The sequence below is a fragment of the Homo sapiens genome, chromosome 4, assembly GCF_000001405.40.
Source record: "Homo sapiens chromosome 4, GRCh38.p14 Primary Assembly".
Classification (NCBI taxonomy): Eukaryota; Metazoa; Chordata; class Mammalia; order Primates; family Hominidae; genus Homo; species Homo sapiens.
The window spans coordinates 171,811,333-171,829,827 of record NC_000004.12 but is presented as its reverse complement, the minus strand read 5'-3'; the positions used below and the strand labels follow the sequence as shown (position 1 = coordinate 171,829,827).

The 18,495-nt window shown below is 37.1% G+C and overlaps 1 protein-coding gene and 1 long non-coding RNA gene across 3 annotated transcripts in view, besides 2 other annotated features; one reads left to right on the top strand and one right to left on the bottom strand.

The window, feature by feature from the left end:
* Nucleotides 1–16,424, bottom strand: part of GALNTL6 (polypeptide N-acetylgalactosaminyltransferase like 6) — a 1,228,156-nt gene extending 1,211,732 nt beyond the window's left edge. For both annotated transcript variants that reach the window (NM_001034845.3, XM_017008243.3), the window contains exons 1-2: nt 15,838–16,424; nt 15,110–15,416 (exon numbers count right to left, since the gene is read on the bottom strand). In NM_001034845.3, the coding sequence (NP_001030017.2) occupies nt 15,110–15,247 (138 nt within the window). In that variant the 5' untranslated portion in view covers nt 15,248–15,416; nt 15,838–16,424. The remainder of the gene's footprint in view (nt 1–15,109; nt 15,417–15,837) is intronic.
* Nucleotides 16,064–16,213: an enhancer, noted in NCBI's record as "active region_22152". NCBI's record gives its function as "activates an Ori minimal core promoter by ATAC-STARR-seq in GM12878 lymphoblastoid cells {active_cell/tissue: GM12878}" and the evidence as "EXISTENCE:reporter gene assay evidence [ECO:0000049][PMID:35858748]".
* LOC441052 (uncharacterized) lies at nt 16,221–17,690 on the top strand. The gene has a single exon (NR_134656.1). It is a non-coding gene; the product is annotated as an uncharacterized LOC441052 (long non-coding RNA).
* Nucleotides 16,454–16,503: a silencer, noted in NCBI's record as "silent region_15802". NCBI's record gives its function as "represses an Ori minimal core promoter by ATAC-STARR-seq in GM12878 lymphoblastoid cells {active_cell/tissue: GM12878}" and the evidence as "EXISTENCE:reporter gene assay evidence [ECO:0000049][PMID:35858748]".
* Nucleotides 17,691–18,495: the final 805 nt, after the last annotated feature.

Here is an 18,495-nt window from a genome sequence, read left to right as displayed (position 1 = left end):
GTAGTACATGAGCATATCTTCTTAGGTGCCACCATTCTACCCACTAGTATGTTTAAGAAACTTACTGATCAATAGAGAATAAACTACCTGAACAGGTAGTTGATATTCAGACTGATAAGTACCGTTATAAGGGCAGAAAAAGAAGATATAACATCAAACTGTTGTATCTAATGCAAACATGGGAGATTAGGAAAGTTTCCCAGAGACCGCTTGACGAAAAGTAGAAATTAACCAGGCAAAACTGCAGAGAAAATGTCTTCAAATTCCAGGGGGAAAAAGTATGATACTCCCAGGAAACTAAAAGAAGCTCAAAATGGTTGAGGCTTAGGGAGTCTTGGCAGTGAAATAGTGATCAATTGGATGTGGGTGCATATCAAGAAGACTCGGGGTAAGCTGTATCAAAGAAAACAAGCTTTTATCTGAAGCTGTAAGAGTCCAATAAAGAGATTTAAGACTGGAGTAGCCTGCTCAGTTAAGCACCTTGGATAAACAGCTCTGGCTGCTGTGAGGGTGAACTTGAGAGCAAGCTGGTGGCAGAGTATCCTTCTGAGGGTGTCTCACAGAAGTCCAGTAAAGTTTTTAAGGTGATCCCAACTAGGACACTCACAAGGGGTGTAACGAGACGTGGATGAATTCAAGAAAGACATTGTAGGAAGCACTGCTAGTACAGTTTACCATTGAAAAGTGCTGGGGCTAGGGATATTGACCTCTTGTGCACTCAAAAATCTGCATGTAACTTTCAACTTAACTACTAATAGCCTACTTTTGACCAGTGGCTTTACCAATAAAATAAACTGTCAATTAATGCATATTTTGCATGTTATGTGCATTATATACTCTATTACAGTAAAGTAAGCTAGAGAAAATAAAATGTTATTAAGAAAGTCATGAGGGGGTGGGCATGGTGGTTCACACCTGTAATTCCAGCATTTTGAGAGGCCCAGGCAGAAGGATCACTTGTGGTCAGGAGTTCGAGACCAGCCTGATCTCGAACAACTAGACCATAGTGAAACCCTGTCTCAACTAAAAATACAAAGATTAGCTAGGCCCAGTAGCATGTGCCTGTAGTCCCAGCTACTTGGGAGGCTGAGGCCGGAGAATCGTTTGAACTTGGGAGGCAGAAGAAGTTGCAGTAAGCAGAGATTGAGCCACTGCACTCCAGCCTGGGCGATGGAGGGAGACTCCATCTAACAAACAAACAAACAACAAAAAAGGCATGAGGAAGAGAAAAGACATGTAGCGTACTGCATTGTGTTTATCAATACCATAAGTTTGTTTCGTTTGTTTATAAGATGAATTGTCTGAAGTGGCAGGCAACTGCAGCTGTGGACTTCCATCTACGGTACGTATCAAACAACTCTACTTTGTCTTGTAATGTCATGACTCTTCTCTGCTTCTTGGGAGTACTTCCAGCATCACTAGTGGTAATTTGGGTCCCATGGTGCTATTCAAGGTTATGGTTTTACACTAAGCATGGCCAGAAATATGAGAGAATTGTGATATCATGTTTTACTGAGATAGCGATTTACTAGACAGATGAACTGCTCACTTCTCCAAGTGATTAGCATCGCACAGTGTTTTAAGCAGATGCTCGTGATACTTGAACCCACTGTAATAGCACAAGGAGTGGCTATGAAATTCCTGCAGTAGTACAGTACGTATTACAGTTAATTTCATGCAATTATAACCCAATACTGCATCTTTATATTTGTTTACATTTCTCTTGATTGTGAATGGTGCCAGGTATGGTCTGTAAGTGTATTATAACTTGTGATAATCTTTTTACTTTTTATAATAGATTTTTGTGTATTTTTATGGTAGCACATAAAATAGACTAGTACCTACATATATTTTATGCATTTGTAACATAACTTTTTTTATATTACTAGACTACATGGTTTGTCTGCAAGCTTTTTTCAAATTTTCTGAAAATCTCCAAAAAAATTCCAATGTATTTATTGAAAAAAATCCACAGGTAAGTGTACCTATGCAGTTCAAACCTATGTTTAAGGGTCAACTATACTTAGCATTCAATTGAATCTGAGAGTAAAGATAATGAAGGTACCGAAGACAGTGATCACCTTTCAGCTTGAATGCTGGAATAGTATCCAGGTTACTTCCTTTAGATAAGATAAGATAAGATACAGAGAAGGAGGAAAGGTATAGGGAATGAAAGGAATTTAATTTCAGACTTCTATAATTTCAAATATCTGTTTCTAGATTTTAGCTTCATATGTGGTTCATATCGTAAGGAGGGAAATTTGGATTAGAGAAAATAGTCTGGGAGTCAACAACCTAAATTTGATAACTGAAATTCTGAAGGCTTGTGAGTGATGGTCCCAGGGAGAGTGCAGAACAAGAAGTAATTGTACAAACACCTGTGAAATTACATAATTCAAACTTAAAGTTGTTGGAACTTTAAATTTTCTGAGCCTTGAGAAGAGTATGGCTATGCGCCCTGAGTCACAGAGCATGCGGTTGCAACTTCTACCTTTTTCCTGTAAATAATTAAGACCAATTAATTATTTCCTGTAAATAATTAAGTGGCAGCCATAAGATCCCCTTAGATCATTGCCTCTATTCACAGAGTAATAAAGTAATCTTCCTTGTAATGTAGCAGTCTGTAATCAATCAAATAGCTGTGGCATATGCACTAGTCTTGTATGGCAAATGTGACCTTGTTGGAACTTTTTTATCTCTGCCTATATAAAGTGTAACCTTAACTTCTCCACTTTGGAACACTGATCCCATTCATTTGGAGTCCATGTTTCCAGGTGGCTGTTCTCAAGTTTTGCATTTGAATAAACTCTATACTTAATAGTTTCTGAATCTCATTATTTAAGGTTGACACTCCCGATGAGCATATTTTTAGGAAAAGAACACAAGTAGGAGTCTGTAAAGGATACTGGTAAATGTACGTGGTATGGGTGTTGGTTGGGAATGGCAGTGAAGACAGAAGAATTAAAATAGGGGTGTGCACCGAGAAGCCTGAATTACCAGCACACGCCACTTGATGTTTTCCTGTTCTACTCTCTTTTCTGTCTTCCAAAAGCTGCTTTTTCCAATCCCTTCTCCCCTCAAATCTCCTACCTCACCACCTCTTCTCAGATGAAGAAGACCGTTTTCCGTAGGAGTGTTAAGCTAATTTCTAACAAGTAATACGACTAATGATATGCGGCTTTGAAACAACTAACTAGAGATTGCTGATGATATTGGCGAAAGGGGTTAATGCAGATTAGCAGGAGTCAGATTCAGCCTGAGGTGGGTAGAAACGGAAAGTCAGGAATGGCTCCCCTACCCCCTCCAATAGGGGGAGAAACCTCAGCATGTTTAAATATTATTGTGAGGGATGTTTTGAGAGGAAAAGGCTGAAAATAAATGAATGAGAAGAAAAACAAAATATGTGGACGTTCCTAAAGAAAGTTGTGATTCATAGTCTGGATAGAGGTTCCATATTTATCTTAAAGCTAGAGATGTTTTTCCATAGTAACAGGAGGCAAGTAGAGAATTGGGAAAACACCCATGCAAATGGCAGTGCTTTCTGGTTTTATGACATGAGTCGTGGTTCTCCCCAAATGAAAATCCTATACTCACAGTGAAAGATGAAGGAAGGCTACCTACCAAGCATAATAAAAGAGGTGGTGGCACGGGAGATTTGAAGAGAGAAAGAAGATTGGAAAAAGCAGTTTCCAAAAACGACGAAGAGAGCTGAATAGGAAAATGTGGAATGATTCTTTTCAGGTAGTTTATGTTTCACTGTACCAGTTTATACTTTTAACTTGTGAAAGATTGTTTCTGTTAAGGTGACACAACTAAGCTATATTTACTTTCTGGTTGCGTAGTTTGGAATAAACTGACAGGTCCCAGCATTACAGACAAACCAATGACAACAAAGAGCAATAGCAGAAGACTTGAGCTGAAAAATATTTCTCACATCACACACATTCTAATAGTTGGAAACACGGTGATGTTCAACAGAATGTTTTTTACGAAGCAAAAGATTCAAGTTTTTGAAGTGTCTCATCTTTCATCTATTCATCGGGCTAATAATTGATCCAATCAGTCCCTATGTGAAACTTGTCTTTTAAAGGAAAAGGAGGAAAAGAAAAGGCTCTAAGAAGTTGGGAAGAGGAGAGAAGAGGTGTAAAGTGATAGACTTGCTTATATTTCTGCACTTTTCTTGAACTCTATCTATTGGTTTCCCTGATGCTTATTTTCCTCTCTGTATTTCATATATTAGAACTCAAGATCTTTGTCGTGGAATGCCAAAGATCTTCCAAAAAAATGTAATTTCCTTTGGCTTGTGAAAGAAAAGTTAAAAGTTTCTACGTAAGTTAAGAGGGGGGACAATTCCATTACATAGTTGTTAATCTGACACCATTCTGCTAGGCTATCTGAAAAATGGTAAAATTCACTCGGCTAGGGAACAGAAGCATTTTTATTTTCCCCCATCACTTAATTTTACACAGCTTTCCATTCCCCTGTCTTTCCGGCCAGCTGGTTTCTTGGAAGCACTAGAAGAGGGCGTGAGAAAGCACTTCCTTCATCAAGTTACTCAACTATGGTCTCCAGCCGCATTATTCTTGATTTTTCCAATTCTACCTGACTGTTGGATGCAACCAAAACAACAACGTTAAAACTCAAGTTAGATGAAATAATAAAGTATTCAGCCCTAAAGACATTCTTTGAGAATTGTCTTTGGCAACTAGACTGATTTAATGACACAATTTAAAAGATCGTTTTTTCCCTGAGGGCAGAATACATGTTCAGAAATTAACACCATGTAGTAAGAACAGAACTAAAAATATGAGGGGAAAGGTCATCAAAATAGCATTCGTTGTTCATTGCATATTCTGGGAAGAGCTACATTCTCTGTTGAAATCTAATTTGCTTCTGACAGGTGGGACCACATGAGACCTTGGTTCAAGTTACAAAAACTTCTGAAACAAGTGCCGTATTATTTTCTGTATGGGCTACTCAAGAATTTAAAAAGTGAAAGAAGAAGTTAAACATGATTCAAACACTTTTAAAAACTACTTTAAAATGCAAAAATATCAAGAGGCATTGATGGATCTAGAAACAAAAAATAAAAATAAAAATGCAAAAATGTATCCAAAAAGGGAAACATATTCATGATGGTTCATGAAAGAAAGTGTGTGGGAACATGTTTTTTCTCTTTTTCCAATCTTAACTTTCTAGAATTCTAACAAGTAATAATAGGAACATGCTTTTTCTCTTTTTCCAATCTTAATTTTCTAGAATTCTAACAAGTAATAATAGATAACATTTTAAATTGCTTATCATGTTCAATCCAGTTTTCTAAGCATTTTATGCAGATTAGCTTATTAAAGCCTTACACCATCTAAATCCATTAGACACTCTTTTTATACTCTTTTTAGAAATGAGAAATCTAAGACACAGGGAAGATAAGTAATTTGTCCAAGGTCTTTGAGTAGTTAAATAATGGAACTGGAACTAACACCAGGGAGTCTGGAGCTAGTGTCCATGCCCTTCACCACTGTGCATATTGACTTTCACAGTTAAATTATTATACCATTTCTTTTGTTGCAATGACCTAGGATATTTCCGATGCAGTTGTAATATATGGTGAACTTCATATAATCTCAATAGTTGATATTGATAGAAAAATCCCTGTACTACCTTGACAACTTTTTAAAATCTCTTTGCATTTGTAATATAAGATAGTAATATTTTACATATATATATATATATATATATATATATATATAAAATGGATTTGTGTTGAGGACTTAAGAGCAGTTTAATACAGTGTCAGAGAAATGTTAGAAGTTCAATAAATGTGACCTTAAAGTTTATTAATATGTGGACTTTTATTTTTACTTTTATTGTTGTTTTATTATAATCACTTTATCCTTTTATTATGAATATATTATCTTAATATTTTTTGGCAACTGGATATTAGTTGCAATAAGTACCACCACCCACCCATCTATCCCCACTTACTATACTATGCTTAAGTACACTCTTGCTTGTTTATTTGTTTGTTTCCTTCACTCTGTGTATCTGGTCATCATCAGCATTTATGTTGACAGGTAGCTTGCTTACTTATTGACAAGGTGGCTGTATGGTTTCCTGACATCTCCTTTCAGTATTATAGTCGTCAGTCTTTTTCATAAGATTATATAAACTATAATAAATATCTGATTACCCATCTATCATCTTTCTAGCTAAGACATCTATAATATATATATATATGTGTGTGTGTATATATATATACATATATATATATTCACAGTTTATAGACTATTTCAGAAATTTTTAATTACCTCTCTAAAGTAGTAAGATATTTGCATGGGAAAAAAATCTCAGACATCTCTGCCAGGAGAAACATTCAAACTATTAAAAGCACAGACTCTAAATTTGCCTTTTGGATAATAACCATTGCTGCTTCTCTCTTTGCTTTATTTCACTTGACTACCTCCATTCTCCTTGGGACTGTCCCCTCAATCTCTCAGGGCATCAGCCTTCTCCTGACTTGTATCTTACCAACCAGGGTCCCACATCCAGCCATTTAGATCAATGCTGACCTCACCAGTATCCATTATCCGTCTTAAAAATATAAGATATTTTAGTTAAATATTTAGTCTTACCATTTAATCTAGTATAATTTTATTTAAATTTCTACAATTGTGTGTAACTATAATCAAGAGAATACCAGGGACAAATTATCAAGCCTAATGACATCTTGAAACCCTTAAACAATGTGGCTGTTAACATTGCCAATTAGTTTCTTTTTCTATAAATCCAGAGCTCATGGACTCAAATTCTGTCTTTGTGCCTTCCTTACTTGTGAATTCAGTTATATAGAAGAACCTGTCAATGAATTTGGTGGACGATTAAATCCTAAAGGTACAGACGACTTAGAGTGGGACCACATACAATCATCACACAATAACTTACATATTTTTTACCTCTTCTAAACTCTAAATAATTTGAGCATGTATTTATTGTAAAGCCATGTAATCCAGCCTTATATTAAAGTGTACATATGCCTTTTTAAACTAATAGATTCGAAGTTAATTGAAAACAGGTTTATGGTTTAATTGCTTATTTCCCTCTGGGTCTATCCCAGTATGGTGCACATATTGCATATCCAAAAATATGGTATCAACAATAAAAGAAAAATTGATAGTGGTAGATTTTATGTATTTTATTATATCTTTTTTAGGTGTACACAATATTTAAGGTTATTTACTACCTTCAATGGACGTTCTAAAAAGTCAAGAAAGTATAGATTGCTATTTGTAAAGCTTCCCTCATTATTTACCATGTACCAAGCAATTTAAACATACAATCCAATTATTTCTCCTAGCTACCCTATTATGAGGTAATTTTTGTGTTTCCACGTGTGGAACTGAGGTTTAAAGATGTTAAGTAGCATGCCCACAGTTACATACTTCTGTAAGGGATGAGGCCCACCTACAAACTTGAAGTATCTGAACTCCCCTTTGCTTAATGCCAACCCTGTGTAATTTTTATAAGAAGAACAGGCACAATGCAATATGTTTTATCTGTCCCCTAATTCTACTGAAAAAAATGCTAACTCCATAAAGTGGCTGAATGATTTTGAGAGTTTTTATTCTACTTTTTAACTTTTTTTCTCCTCGAATAATCCAGCCAAACTCATGGCCAAGATTTAAACAGCAACAACAAAAGTAGTTCTCAGTTTCTTGCCTGTAATTAGTAAGAAGAAAAAAAAATGCTTATATTGACTCATGGACTTTATTTTTATAGGAAATGACAGTAGTCACTACAAAGAAATATTGCCTTTTTTCTTTTCTTTTTTATTAAAAGCTTCAACTTTTGGATAGTTTTCAATACAATACATCAAGAACTAATTTTAGTAATTTTTGTAATAAACAATAAAAAAATTAAAATAATCAACTTATCCTTAAGTATGAAATCCAAAATGTTAAGAAAAATGCCCTTTTAGTTTCTAAGACTCTATTGGCTTATTCAACAGTCCTCCCTACTACATTCAACACACCAGTGACGTTGCTCTGCTGTGCTGTCTTGACAATGCCTCTGAAAGAGAAGCCAGCTGTAAATATTTATTAAACAAACACTAATTACCTTGGTAAAGGCAATGATTGCTTATAAACACTTGTGTGTAATAACTATATATATATATATATATATATATATCCGTTAAGCCTTGTTATATACTGTTAAAGATGCTAAGCGTTTAATCCTCATTATAACACTACAAAAAAGGTATCATCACCTGCATTTTACTAATTAAGAAAACTGATCCAGGGAAGAGCCATAAGTTCTTAAATGTCACAACATACTAAGCCAGAATTTTTAAGCCTAAATAATTTGATTCTAGAGACTACACTCTGACCTAAAAGAGAACAAGACCCAATACTACAGAAATTCTGATATTTCTCCTTAAGTTCAATTGGATTTTCCAGCTGGGGAGACATGTCAGAAATAAGGGCACAAGGCTGGGAGTGGGGGCTCATGCTTGCAATCCCGGCACTTCGGGAGGCTGAAGTGGGGGGATCTCTTGACAGTAGGAGTTGAGACCAGCCTGGGTAACATAGTGAGACCTTGTCGCTACAAAAAAAATTTTTTAAAAAGTTATCCAGGTATCATGGCGCCTGCCTGTAGTCCCAGCTACTTGGAAGGCTGAGGCAGGAGGACTGCTTGAGCCCAGGAGACTGAGGCTGCAGCGAGTTACAGTTGCACCACTGCACTCTAGCTGGGGTGGCAGAGTAAGACCTTGTCTTGGGGAAAAATAAATAAATATATGAGGGAAAAGGAAAGGCCACCTCACTAAAACTTATGTGGCATACCTAACAATTTGGTCATTTTTAATATAATGAAAAAATTCAAAATTATTATAATTTTCTCTGGATTTCTAGATTTCAAGTATTGAAATCATAGTCCATGAATATTTGAATACTTGAAATAATTCAAAATTGGCCTTCTTAGCCCTTATTGAGAAACCACCAGTCCTTAAGACAGGTGGTAGCTACTATCATGCTCTATAACAAGAACAATTGTGTTAATTATATTACATTATAACAGCGACTCTCCTATTTATAATCTGTGCCATACTAACAGACTAAATCCTCATTGTGAGTTTCACACTTGCTAAGTAGATGTAAGCACTTCTAGAGATGGATGCATTTTCTTTATCTTTCTGCATACTTTTCTAGAATACTTCATTTCAATGGTGCTTCAAATTCCCCTACCTACCTATTGTGGATTCAAAGCAATGGAAAAAACAAAAAGTCACAGAAGTTAAAAATATTGCTGAAAACAAAACAGTTGGGTGGATTTAATTTTTCTTTATAAGTGAAACTACGGATATGGGTATATGTACCTGTGTATGTCTGTTGCTAAATGAATTAATAAAATGAATACATTTAATTTGAGAGTACCAATAATTCAGTTCACATCTTTTTGCCCTACCACACTGGAAGCAAAAACCTTGGTGGAAACATTGATGTGCTTTACCTTGAATTCATCATTAGCCCTAAATATACCTTTATTTGTTCACCCTCTTTCTGATGCCATTTTGCTTGTTAAGCAGTGACAGACATCAACACATTAGTGAAGAAAGTTAGAGGTCATGATGCCTTGAAGTTTTGTGAATGCTTGTCCTTCTTTACAACCTTTAAATGAACCCTATATAGATATATTTTATGTGTCTAAGTACATATTTCCATAGCACACAGGTTTTTTATCTGTTGTTTTTTGTTGTCCATTCAAGCATTACGACTACATTTTGAGATAATTTAGAAATCATTAGCTGTACAGTGAGGTGATAAGGAGAGCAAGTTTAGGACAGTGTGTCTTTACTGTCATCTTCAGAACCTTCCATTTCTTTGCACACTTGCACCTTTGTTTAATAACAGTAATTTTGTAAACACATGCAAATATGAGCAAAAGAAAAGAACATGGTCTCCTTAGATGGTTTTAAAGATCTGATGTTTCCAGAGCTAAAACTCTTCCCCATAAGCAAGCCAATCAAGGGAGAAATGGGAATACATGATGCACGAAACATATCTAAGTCTGATTCTATATTCCACTTACATCTTCTGATGCCTTCTCATGATTTTAAGTTTTATCTCTGCCTGTAATGTTATTGTTGATGTCCCTCAGCTGTCTTTCATTTGTATAAAAATGTTGCAAGGAGAGACATGGCTGCAAACTTTCTAAGGGTTGTCACGGCTACTCCTGACAAACAAACAAAAAAATTCAATCCTTTCTTCTACACCGTTTAAACCACTCAACCTTTCTCACCCTTTTCCTATATATTCCAACTTGATTTGGCTCCTTTTGCAGGGAAAACTTATAGGAAACTAATTGATTCAGCACAGCTTGTCCAACTCAGAAATGAATAGAGGGGAAAAATTATTTATTTATTTTTTTGACCAGATTGTGAACAGAAGACTGTGTTTCACACTCTGTCTCCCATGGGGCAATGTGATGAACTAATCATGTAGTGATCTACCAGGTCACAGCAAATAATTAAGATACTTGTTACAGTGTTCCGTGTGGTGCCACCCTGTAGTGATTCTGAATGCATTTTCCATAAATTCCAGAAACGGTCCTTTAAAACCCTAATTTAAAATCTACATCTTAGCTAATTAAGACCACTGTGGCTCAAACTAATGTGTCCTTTCATATCTAGTGTATTGATAATGTGCCATCCTGAGTGTAGGTGTAAATTTTTCCTCCTGTCCTTAGCTCTTCCAAATTCTAAGGTATTTGCTAAAAAAGGAACACAGACATAAATTTTACAGCTTTAGTGATCAGCATGTTAAAAAAAAAATGCCTAAGACAGTTTGCATACACTGGGTACCAATTATCTGATATTTTCTTATTTTCATGTTATAAAACAAGTTTTAAAAGCCACTGGAAAAAATATTGTTGTTCAAAAAGAAGGCTCCCCTGCAGTGTAGGGCTGATTAACATTAGATGAATTAGACAAAGATGCTAAGGTATCCTTTTCAGAATTTTTTTTTAATGGAGGTAAAGTCACATATCTGTCAAGCACAGTTTACAAGACAGAAACAATGCATTACCCCACAATATTTTCCATATATAAGGTGTGAGCTCTCAGGACTTTATTCATCTTGTTATGTGACACACACGAAGAGTCCTACTTTAAAAATAGAAATTCTGAAATTCAAATAAATAATAGGGTTCCACAATTTCAAAGAGACATAGAGGACCTAGGCTTTTTTTTTTTTTTTAATGTGGTAGAAAATCTAGGACAATATAAGCTTCTAAAATCATTCTGAACAGTTCTGATCTGTTTTAAAATTCTAAGATTTTGGCCCTCATTTTTATTTAAAAAATTGCAAGATCCTCTTCATATTCTAAATATTCTTGAATTATTTCTGTAATTAATATTATTTCCAAGTTACTTGCTAAACTACTATTACAGTTACTTTTTTTGGAATTTGGGGTTTTTAAAAATGTATTTAGGAAAAGAAAGTATTTGGTGCTAGATTTTTTTTCACATATTCTTGAATAAGTGATTAAGAAAAGAGAAATACAATAAGACTGGATATAGTAGTTTTGTTCTAAAATATAGTATTATTCTATGTATCATCCTAACTCACAGCTTATGACCTAAATATGTAAGTGGTATTTAATGCAAATACAGCTGAAACAAGAGAAGAGGAGCATTTCAAATGTTTAAACAGAAAAATGAAGCTAAGAATTACTTTACAATGACTATATAGCAATCATTCTCAGCTAAATATATTATCAGTAGATTCTTTTAATATACATATATATTTCTAAATGACATAAAGGAGATACTTATATCATCCCAATAACAAAAAAAGACAAAATTAAGTCAATTGAAAATAACACATCACAATTATAATAATGTAACATCTAAATAAAAATTTAAAAATATAATTTTTATAAAATCTTAAAATCTCAAAAACTTCATATTTATTTCAGTGACTTGATTTCAATTTTGCAGATCCCAAACCATAAAAAACTTTTAATTGTATCATGTTATTAAAACTGTTATATCGATCCTCTTTGGTTTTCTGAGAGTAAAGGAAAAAGAAAAACTTTGAAATAAATAACTTGGTAATTTTTACGTCCTTGTTTCATTTTCTGCAACATAAATGCAGAAGATTTTAAAATATTAGAAAATTATCTTAAATATTATTTTTAAATGAAGGTCTAGAAAATACAAACAATTAATGTGTAATCAGACAGTAGATTAGAGAAAAAAAGTGTTAAATACTAAACATTGTGAAAATTAATCCACATGGTTCCCATCAGTGTTTCCTGTTTCACTTCCCTTTATTTTATTTACTTCAGATTGCAGAATTAGTACAATTTGTACTCAATACTAGATAGAAAAATTATTAGTGATATCATCTGCTAAAATATAAATAACGTATATTTTAAAAGAATTAGCCATTCCATAATTTTGAATTTCCATAAATTAAATTATTTCCCTGTAACCTTTTCTAATAATTAAACTATTTAAAACAGTGCAAGTTTTTCAGCTCTTATGACCACTACCACATGATACTCAGAACTAGAACCCTTGGCTGTTTTACACATAAGTACTGTAAAAATAGTTCACTCATTTGGGCATGTGACTTGTTTGACTAGCCTCAGTACTTATTGCTGTCAGTGCTTTGATCTGCACATTATCTTCATCCTCAATATTTTGCAACTTGGGGAGAAGTATAGTAGTAAATGTGTTCTGGGGAACATTTAGCAATTAACCATGAAAATGTCCTTTAAAAATTAATTGCTAAATAGAAATAACATATTACCCAGTAGCCAAATTATGTTTCAATTTAAAACCTATGTGTTTAGCCACCTTGCTAACATTGCAATATACACATACATTAGCCAAATATTACATCACAATATTAAGCATGTTTTAAAAGTTGCTTTTTATTTGTTCCAATATCAATATTAATGACTTAACTCTTACTTACCCAAAACTTGCTTATTGAGGACAACATATCCTAATTTTCCTTCTAATTATAATAAATAATAGAATAAAACCAATGAAAATGAACTGTTTCTATTTTACAGTGAATTATATTTTTCATTAAGTAATCAATTAATTTTTACCTTTTAAATTTTATTTTTTAATCTATAAAAAGTATTAGTTTTAAAACCATTATTTAGGTAATATTAAAGTAGATGACTGACATTCATTTTGGGGCTTATTTTCTTCCCCACTTGGTTTCAAAGCCTCTACATAGAGTTATTAAACTGGAATGTCATACAATATCAATCAATTTCAGTTATTTATTCTACAGTATACGAAAATTCTCTTGCCACCCCATGTCTTTTATACCCATTACTTTATTACCTGAAATTAAGTATCATTTGCACTACAGAAGAACCAGAAATAAGGAAACAGTCAATTATTATAATGACAGATCAGAGAGTTAAACTGTCACAGTTTTTTTTTTCTGCTATTAGACAAACAATTTTCTCATTAAGGGTCAAAATTATAGAGTCAATGTGAAAGTTGTAAGAATCTCATTAATAAAATTAATTAGCGCTTTATGTTAGCTATACCAGCAAATACTTCAGATGGTTATTGTTAATTGAATTAGCAAATTTCAAGAAAAAATAATTTTGCCTTTCCTGTTTTACCAGCATGGAGTGGAGATTTTACATAATAGCATATTGACTACTAAAGTTATTAAAATCCTGTTTTACATCAAGGGTTGAATGATGTAAATAAGAACAAAAAAAGTTTCACATCCAAAGTGTCCATCTTCTTTTTTTCACTGGAATGACAAAACAGAATATACTTCAAACCAAAGTTGAATTCCTATTAGAAAGGATAATAAATATTAACAACTAAATGAAAATATGTCAACATTTTTCCTCGAAATAACAATCCACTAAAAATCCATGGACAACTCATTCTCTTTAAAGTTTAGAGACTGGTAATGATTTCTTGTCATAATGAAAAAGCAGATTACCTCTTTATATTGCACAACTAACCACTGTGCAAAAAGAAAATTAAACTTCATTAAGTATAAGAGCAAATATTTAATGGCCATTACTATATATTGCTGTTTTCCAGGAATGGACTACTTCAACATTTTCTATGTGTGGAAGGTACAGAGTGTTCATGGGTGATGACCCTTGAAATTAAGAATATTAATATTCCAAGGTGATGCACAGGACTAACTGAAAAAGTGGTTTATCAATATCATGAAGAAGACTGCATTCTGTTGTTAAACGTTTAATTACGGAAGCTATTTTATTTATTAACAAACAAGGAATTCGACAACATTGATTTTCATCAACATTTTGGGAAGTCTATTTTGCATTATTGTTCACCAGGGAACACAGTTATTTTGGTCCATGTTAAGTCATGAGGTATATACATACTAATGAGTTACATATTAAGTAGAAAGAAAACATATTATACTACATATCTTTAGTATGGGTGTTTCCAATATGACAGCAAGCTGTTAGCAACATACTGTTATCAAGCGACTGTGAAACGGAATGAACGTCCTTAATAACTCTGCCTGTGTGCCCCATGGCAGCACCTTAGCAACAGGGGAGACGAAAGAGAGACTTTAAGTTTCGACAGGGTAAAAAGCTGTTGCTAAGCAAAATTTACAACCAAAATACTGAAAACCATAGCTTGATTTTTAAAGAACCACTTCACAATCTTAATGATTTAGTTGGCCCAATTCACCTGAACATAGACATGCATGCCAAATGGAAAGCAAAAACCTATCCTTGTCATTAAACTTGCACCAAACCCACTCCCACCTCCATAGCTGAACAGTTACCTTTCATCCACCTCAAGTCAAAATCAACCTAAGACCAATGGTGAAAGATTATCTTCTCTTCTTCTTGACCTGTCTTATCCTTCTTTACTAGTTGTACATGTCACGATGTTACTGGCTGCAATCTTAAAACATCTACTTGCTTAAACCCCAAAGTCTCTAGAGTCTTGTAATAATCAGCTCTGTCAAGACTTGGGGGAAAACCCAAGGCGATCCCACACCGGCTTTCTCGAGTCCCCGCGCGAGGATCACTGCCTTACCAATCCTTGTGTGATCTTTCTCTGGGTGGCACTTACCTGCTGCTCCCCGGGCTCCGCTGACTTCACCAGGTGCTTATCCTTGTACAGAGACCAGAGACCAACGTTAGGCAGGAAAATTAAAGCCACCGTGAACAACAAAGTCATCTGCAGAAATCTCTTCTGTTTCCTCTTCATTGCAAATGGTAACAGAGAAGAAAAGTTAAAGGAGATGGCTCCCTGACTGCTTCTTGTGTTTAATGTCAAATTCCTTTCCTCTCCCCTGCGAAGCACCAGAAACTGAGAAGCTACAAACTTTTGTTGCGTGCTCAGCACCAATCTGCAGGATTCAGAGGGAGTTGGCCATCTGCAGAACAAACGCACAGTTACTTTCCCCCCAGAAAACTATGACGAAGGCATTATCTATTGGCTTAGAAATAAATGACTTGACTAAAGAAATCATTAAGCCCATTGACCTCCATTAATATAAAGCAATAGAGTAAATATGGTCGTTTCATTGACTAAAGGTAAGTTATAAAAAAGTCAACAGCCTGCTAGATACTTAGGTAACTGGGAGTTTTTGTTGCTGTTGTTGTTGTTCGCCCCCCACCTCCTTAGTGTGGGAGGGCTGGGTCGGGGTGGAGCGGGTTAGGAGACAGAACTGAGAGGAACTGGCTCAACCCCTTCAAGTGTCAGGAAGAAAAGTGTCCGCTTTTGACATTGGAACAGCGTCACCTTCTTCGTCTTCCCTGAACATCTTTTCCTGTGCTCCCCTTGGGATAACCCACCTGAACTCAAGTTCAACTCCCTCCGGAGCCAGCTTGCCGGCGGGCTCCACCGGGATCCAGGGACTCGGGATCCGGGCAGAACTCCGGTTCGGATGGAGGTCCACGAAGTGCCGGACCCTCGCGCGCTGTCTACACGCTCCTCTGCAGGCAGCGGCTGGGAGCCCCGGGAACCTGGTGGAAAGGAGGCTACAGATGTCAGCGGAGTCCAGCCAGGAAGTGGTGGCGCCGCGACGTCCCTTCCTCGCGCGGTCCTCGGAATGCGATCCTCTGAGAAGTGAGCGCTCTGCCCATCAATCTCGTCCCTTCCCCCGGTGACGCTCTCACGCTCCGCTGTTCATGTTACCATTCTTTTCTGGCAACTGAACGAACCCACAGGACCATCACGAGCACCTAAAGGGCAATATTTTTTGATCTCCTCTTCTCGTAAAGGGGATGGAGGCGGAGAAACCGAAGTCTGTGCTGGGCTTGGAAGCGGACGAGGGCGCTGCGAGGAGGAGCGGAAGGCGGAGATGCGCCGCGGCTGCACACGGTCGCCCGCGCCCCACTCCCCGGCGCCTGCCTTCCGCGGAGACGTCGCTGGTGTCTGCCACGTGCGGCAGCCCGGAGCCCAGGAGGGGAGGGCGGGCCGCCTGGCGGGGGTGGGCAATGCCTCCCGGCCTCCAGACGCTATATAAACAGACCCGGACGCGAGGCAGCGGCGGAGGGCGAGCGTGACGCTGGAGGAGGAGTGGGAGCTCCCAGCCTGCGCGGGTCCTCTCTTTACCTGCCAGGGCTTTTCCGGGTAATCTGGGACCGACAGGGATGCCAGCACCCCGTCATCTCACCCAAAGGGCGCCAGGCCAGAGATTCCTGGGGAAAAGTCGCCGGCTGCAGGCGGTTGTCCCAGGAATTCCTCCATGGTGCCGGCGGGAGCGCGGCGAGCCGGGGCGCGGCGGCTGCGGGAGGTGGAGGCGACCCGGGACAGGGCCGGTCCCAGGGAGAGGGGATCCCCCGAGCCGCGCGTTCCGCCGTTCAGGCCAGGTAGGGGGTGGGGAAGGAGGAGGAAGAGGATCCCGAAGCAAGACAGAGCTGAGGCTCAGAGTTCTCAGGCAGCAGCTTCTGGAGGACACCGTGGAGACCCAAGGCGGCTTTATTTGGGTCTGCAAACACCCGGGGCCCCGGTTAAGATTCGGCAGGGCCACCCCGCTCCTCCCCCGCCTTGCACGACCGCACTCCGCGCGCCTTGTCACTGCGAGGGCTACCTGTCCTCGCACACTCCTCCGCGATGGCCAGAAAACGTGGGACTCGAGATAAGACTCTGGCAGATGGTACTCCTCCCTCCGCCTAACGTATCAATGCACCAACGCCCCTGACCGCACACTCAGGAACCTGTGGCAGCCTCGCCAAGGGACAGCGTGCCCAGCACCGTGCACTGGGCACTCTTGGATCTGGAGCTCACAACTCCGGAAGGAATGGGGACTTAGATGAGGTGACAGACATGCATGCATGCAATGCAGGCTGAATCCGCCTGTCTGGAGCCAAAAATAAACGCCATGGTCACCTCTTTGTTACAACCTGGATATGATGCCCACATGCGTGGGGTAGACATGCTTGGGATAGATAAGCCTGTGGACTTCAGACGGTATTTTCTCTTTCCCTTTTTTCTTCTTTCTCGTCCTCATCTCTGTCCCTCCCTCCTTTTCTTCTCGCCCTATCTCTTCCTCCCTTTCTACTCTCTCTAGTGTCTCACTTGAGAAAGACCTAGATTTGAGTGGGAAGAGTTATGCCTTAAACTGTTCTCATTATAAATTCAAAATGTACTTGAAGAATACAGATCGACTGTATGATGGCATGAATAAAGCGCTATGCTGTAATATTTGTTTTTGTGAATCACTTGAATTTTAAAATAGTCTAAAAATATATTTAATAAATGTTGTTGAATGTGTCCTTTATATAAAGACCAATTACCTTTAGATTTTATATAAATGCAACTTAATCTAGAGTGCAAGGGACTTAATTCCTCACCCCCACCCCCACACATACACTATGCCTTTTGTAGTCTGCGTTATTTTCTAACCTTTTTCTCTCTAAGGAAGTGCAGTTTTGAAACACAGAAATGTGAATTCTGGGAAGCAACATAGCAGGGAGAGGTTTCCTGGGAATATTGTCAGGTGCTCAAGGAAATAAATTTGGAGAATCATTTAATTATATTGGATATATTTTTAAGTACTGATACAGTTATTAATTTTCAAAGTAAAATAACTCAAAAGTGCACTTGGAATTAAAAAAGTAAAATCTCTCACATTTTAAACAATACCTGTTTTTTAATACCTTAAAAAATAGTCTTGGATCAGGAATAGACATACTAGCATTCTATTTGTTGAATCCAGGGTGTTGAGTTGAAACATGCTTCACTGTTGTTAAACTAGCAAATGGTCTTGCATACAGCACCCATTCAGAGAAAATCGTTAATTACTATTACTTCCCCAATCAAGTACACGCAGAATACATGGTAGAAACTGAAAGGAGAAAATTACTATGTTTACTTCTGTTTTATAGCATAGTTCCAGACCATAACTTTAGCTTTTTCTCCTTTTCTGTATAATTTATTTATTTATTTTTGATTCAGAGCATAATTTCTCTTTTCCCTTCAGTCTGGTATTCTTTCACAATTCCTCA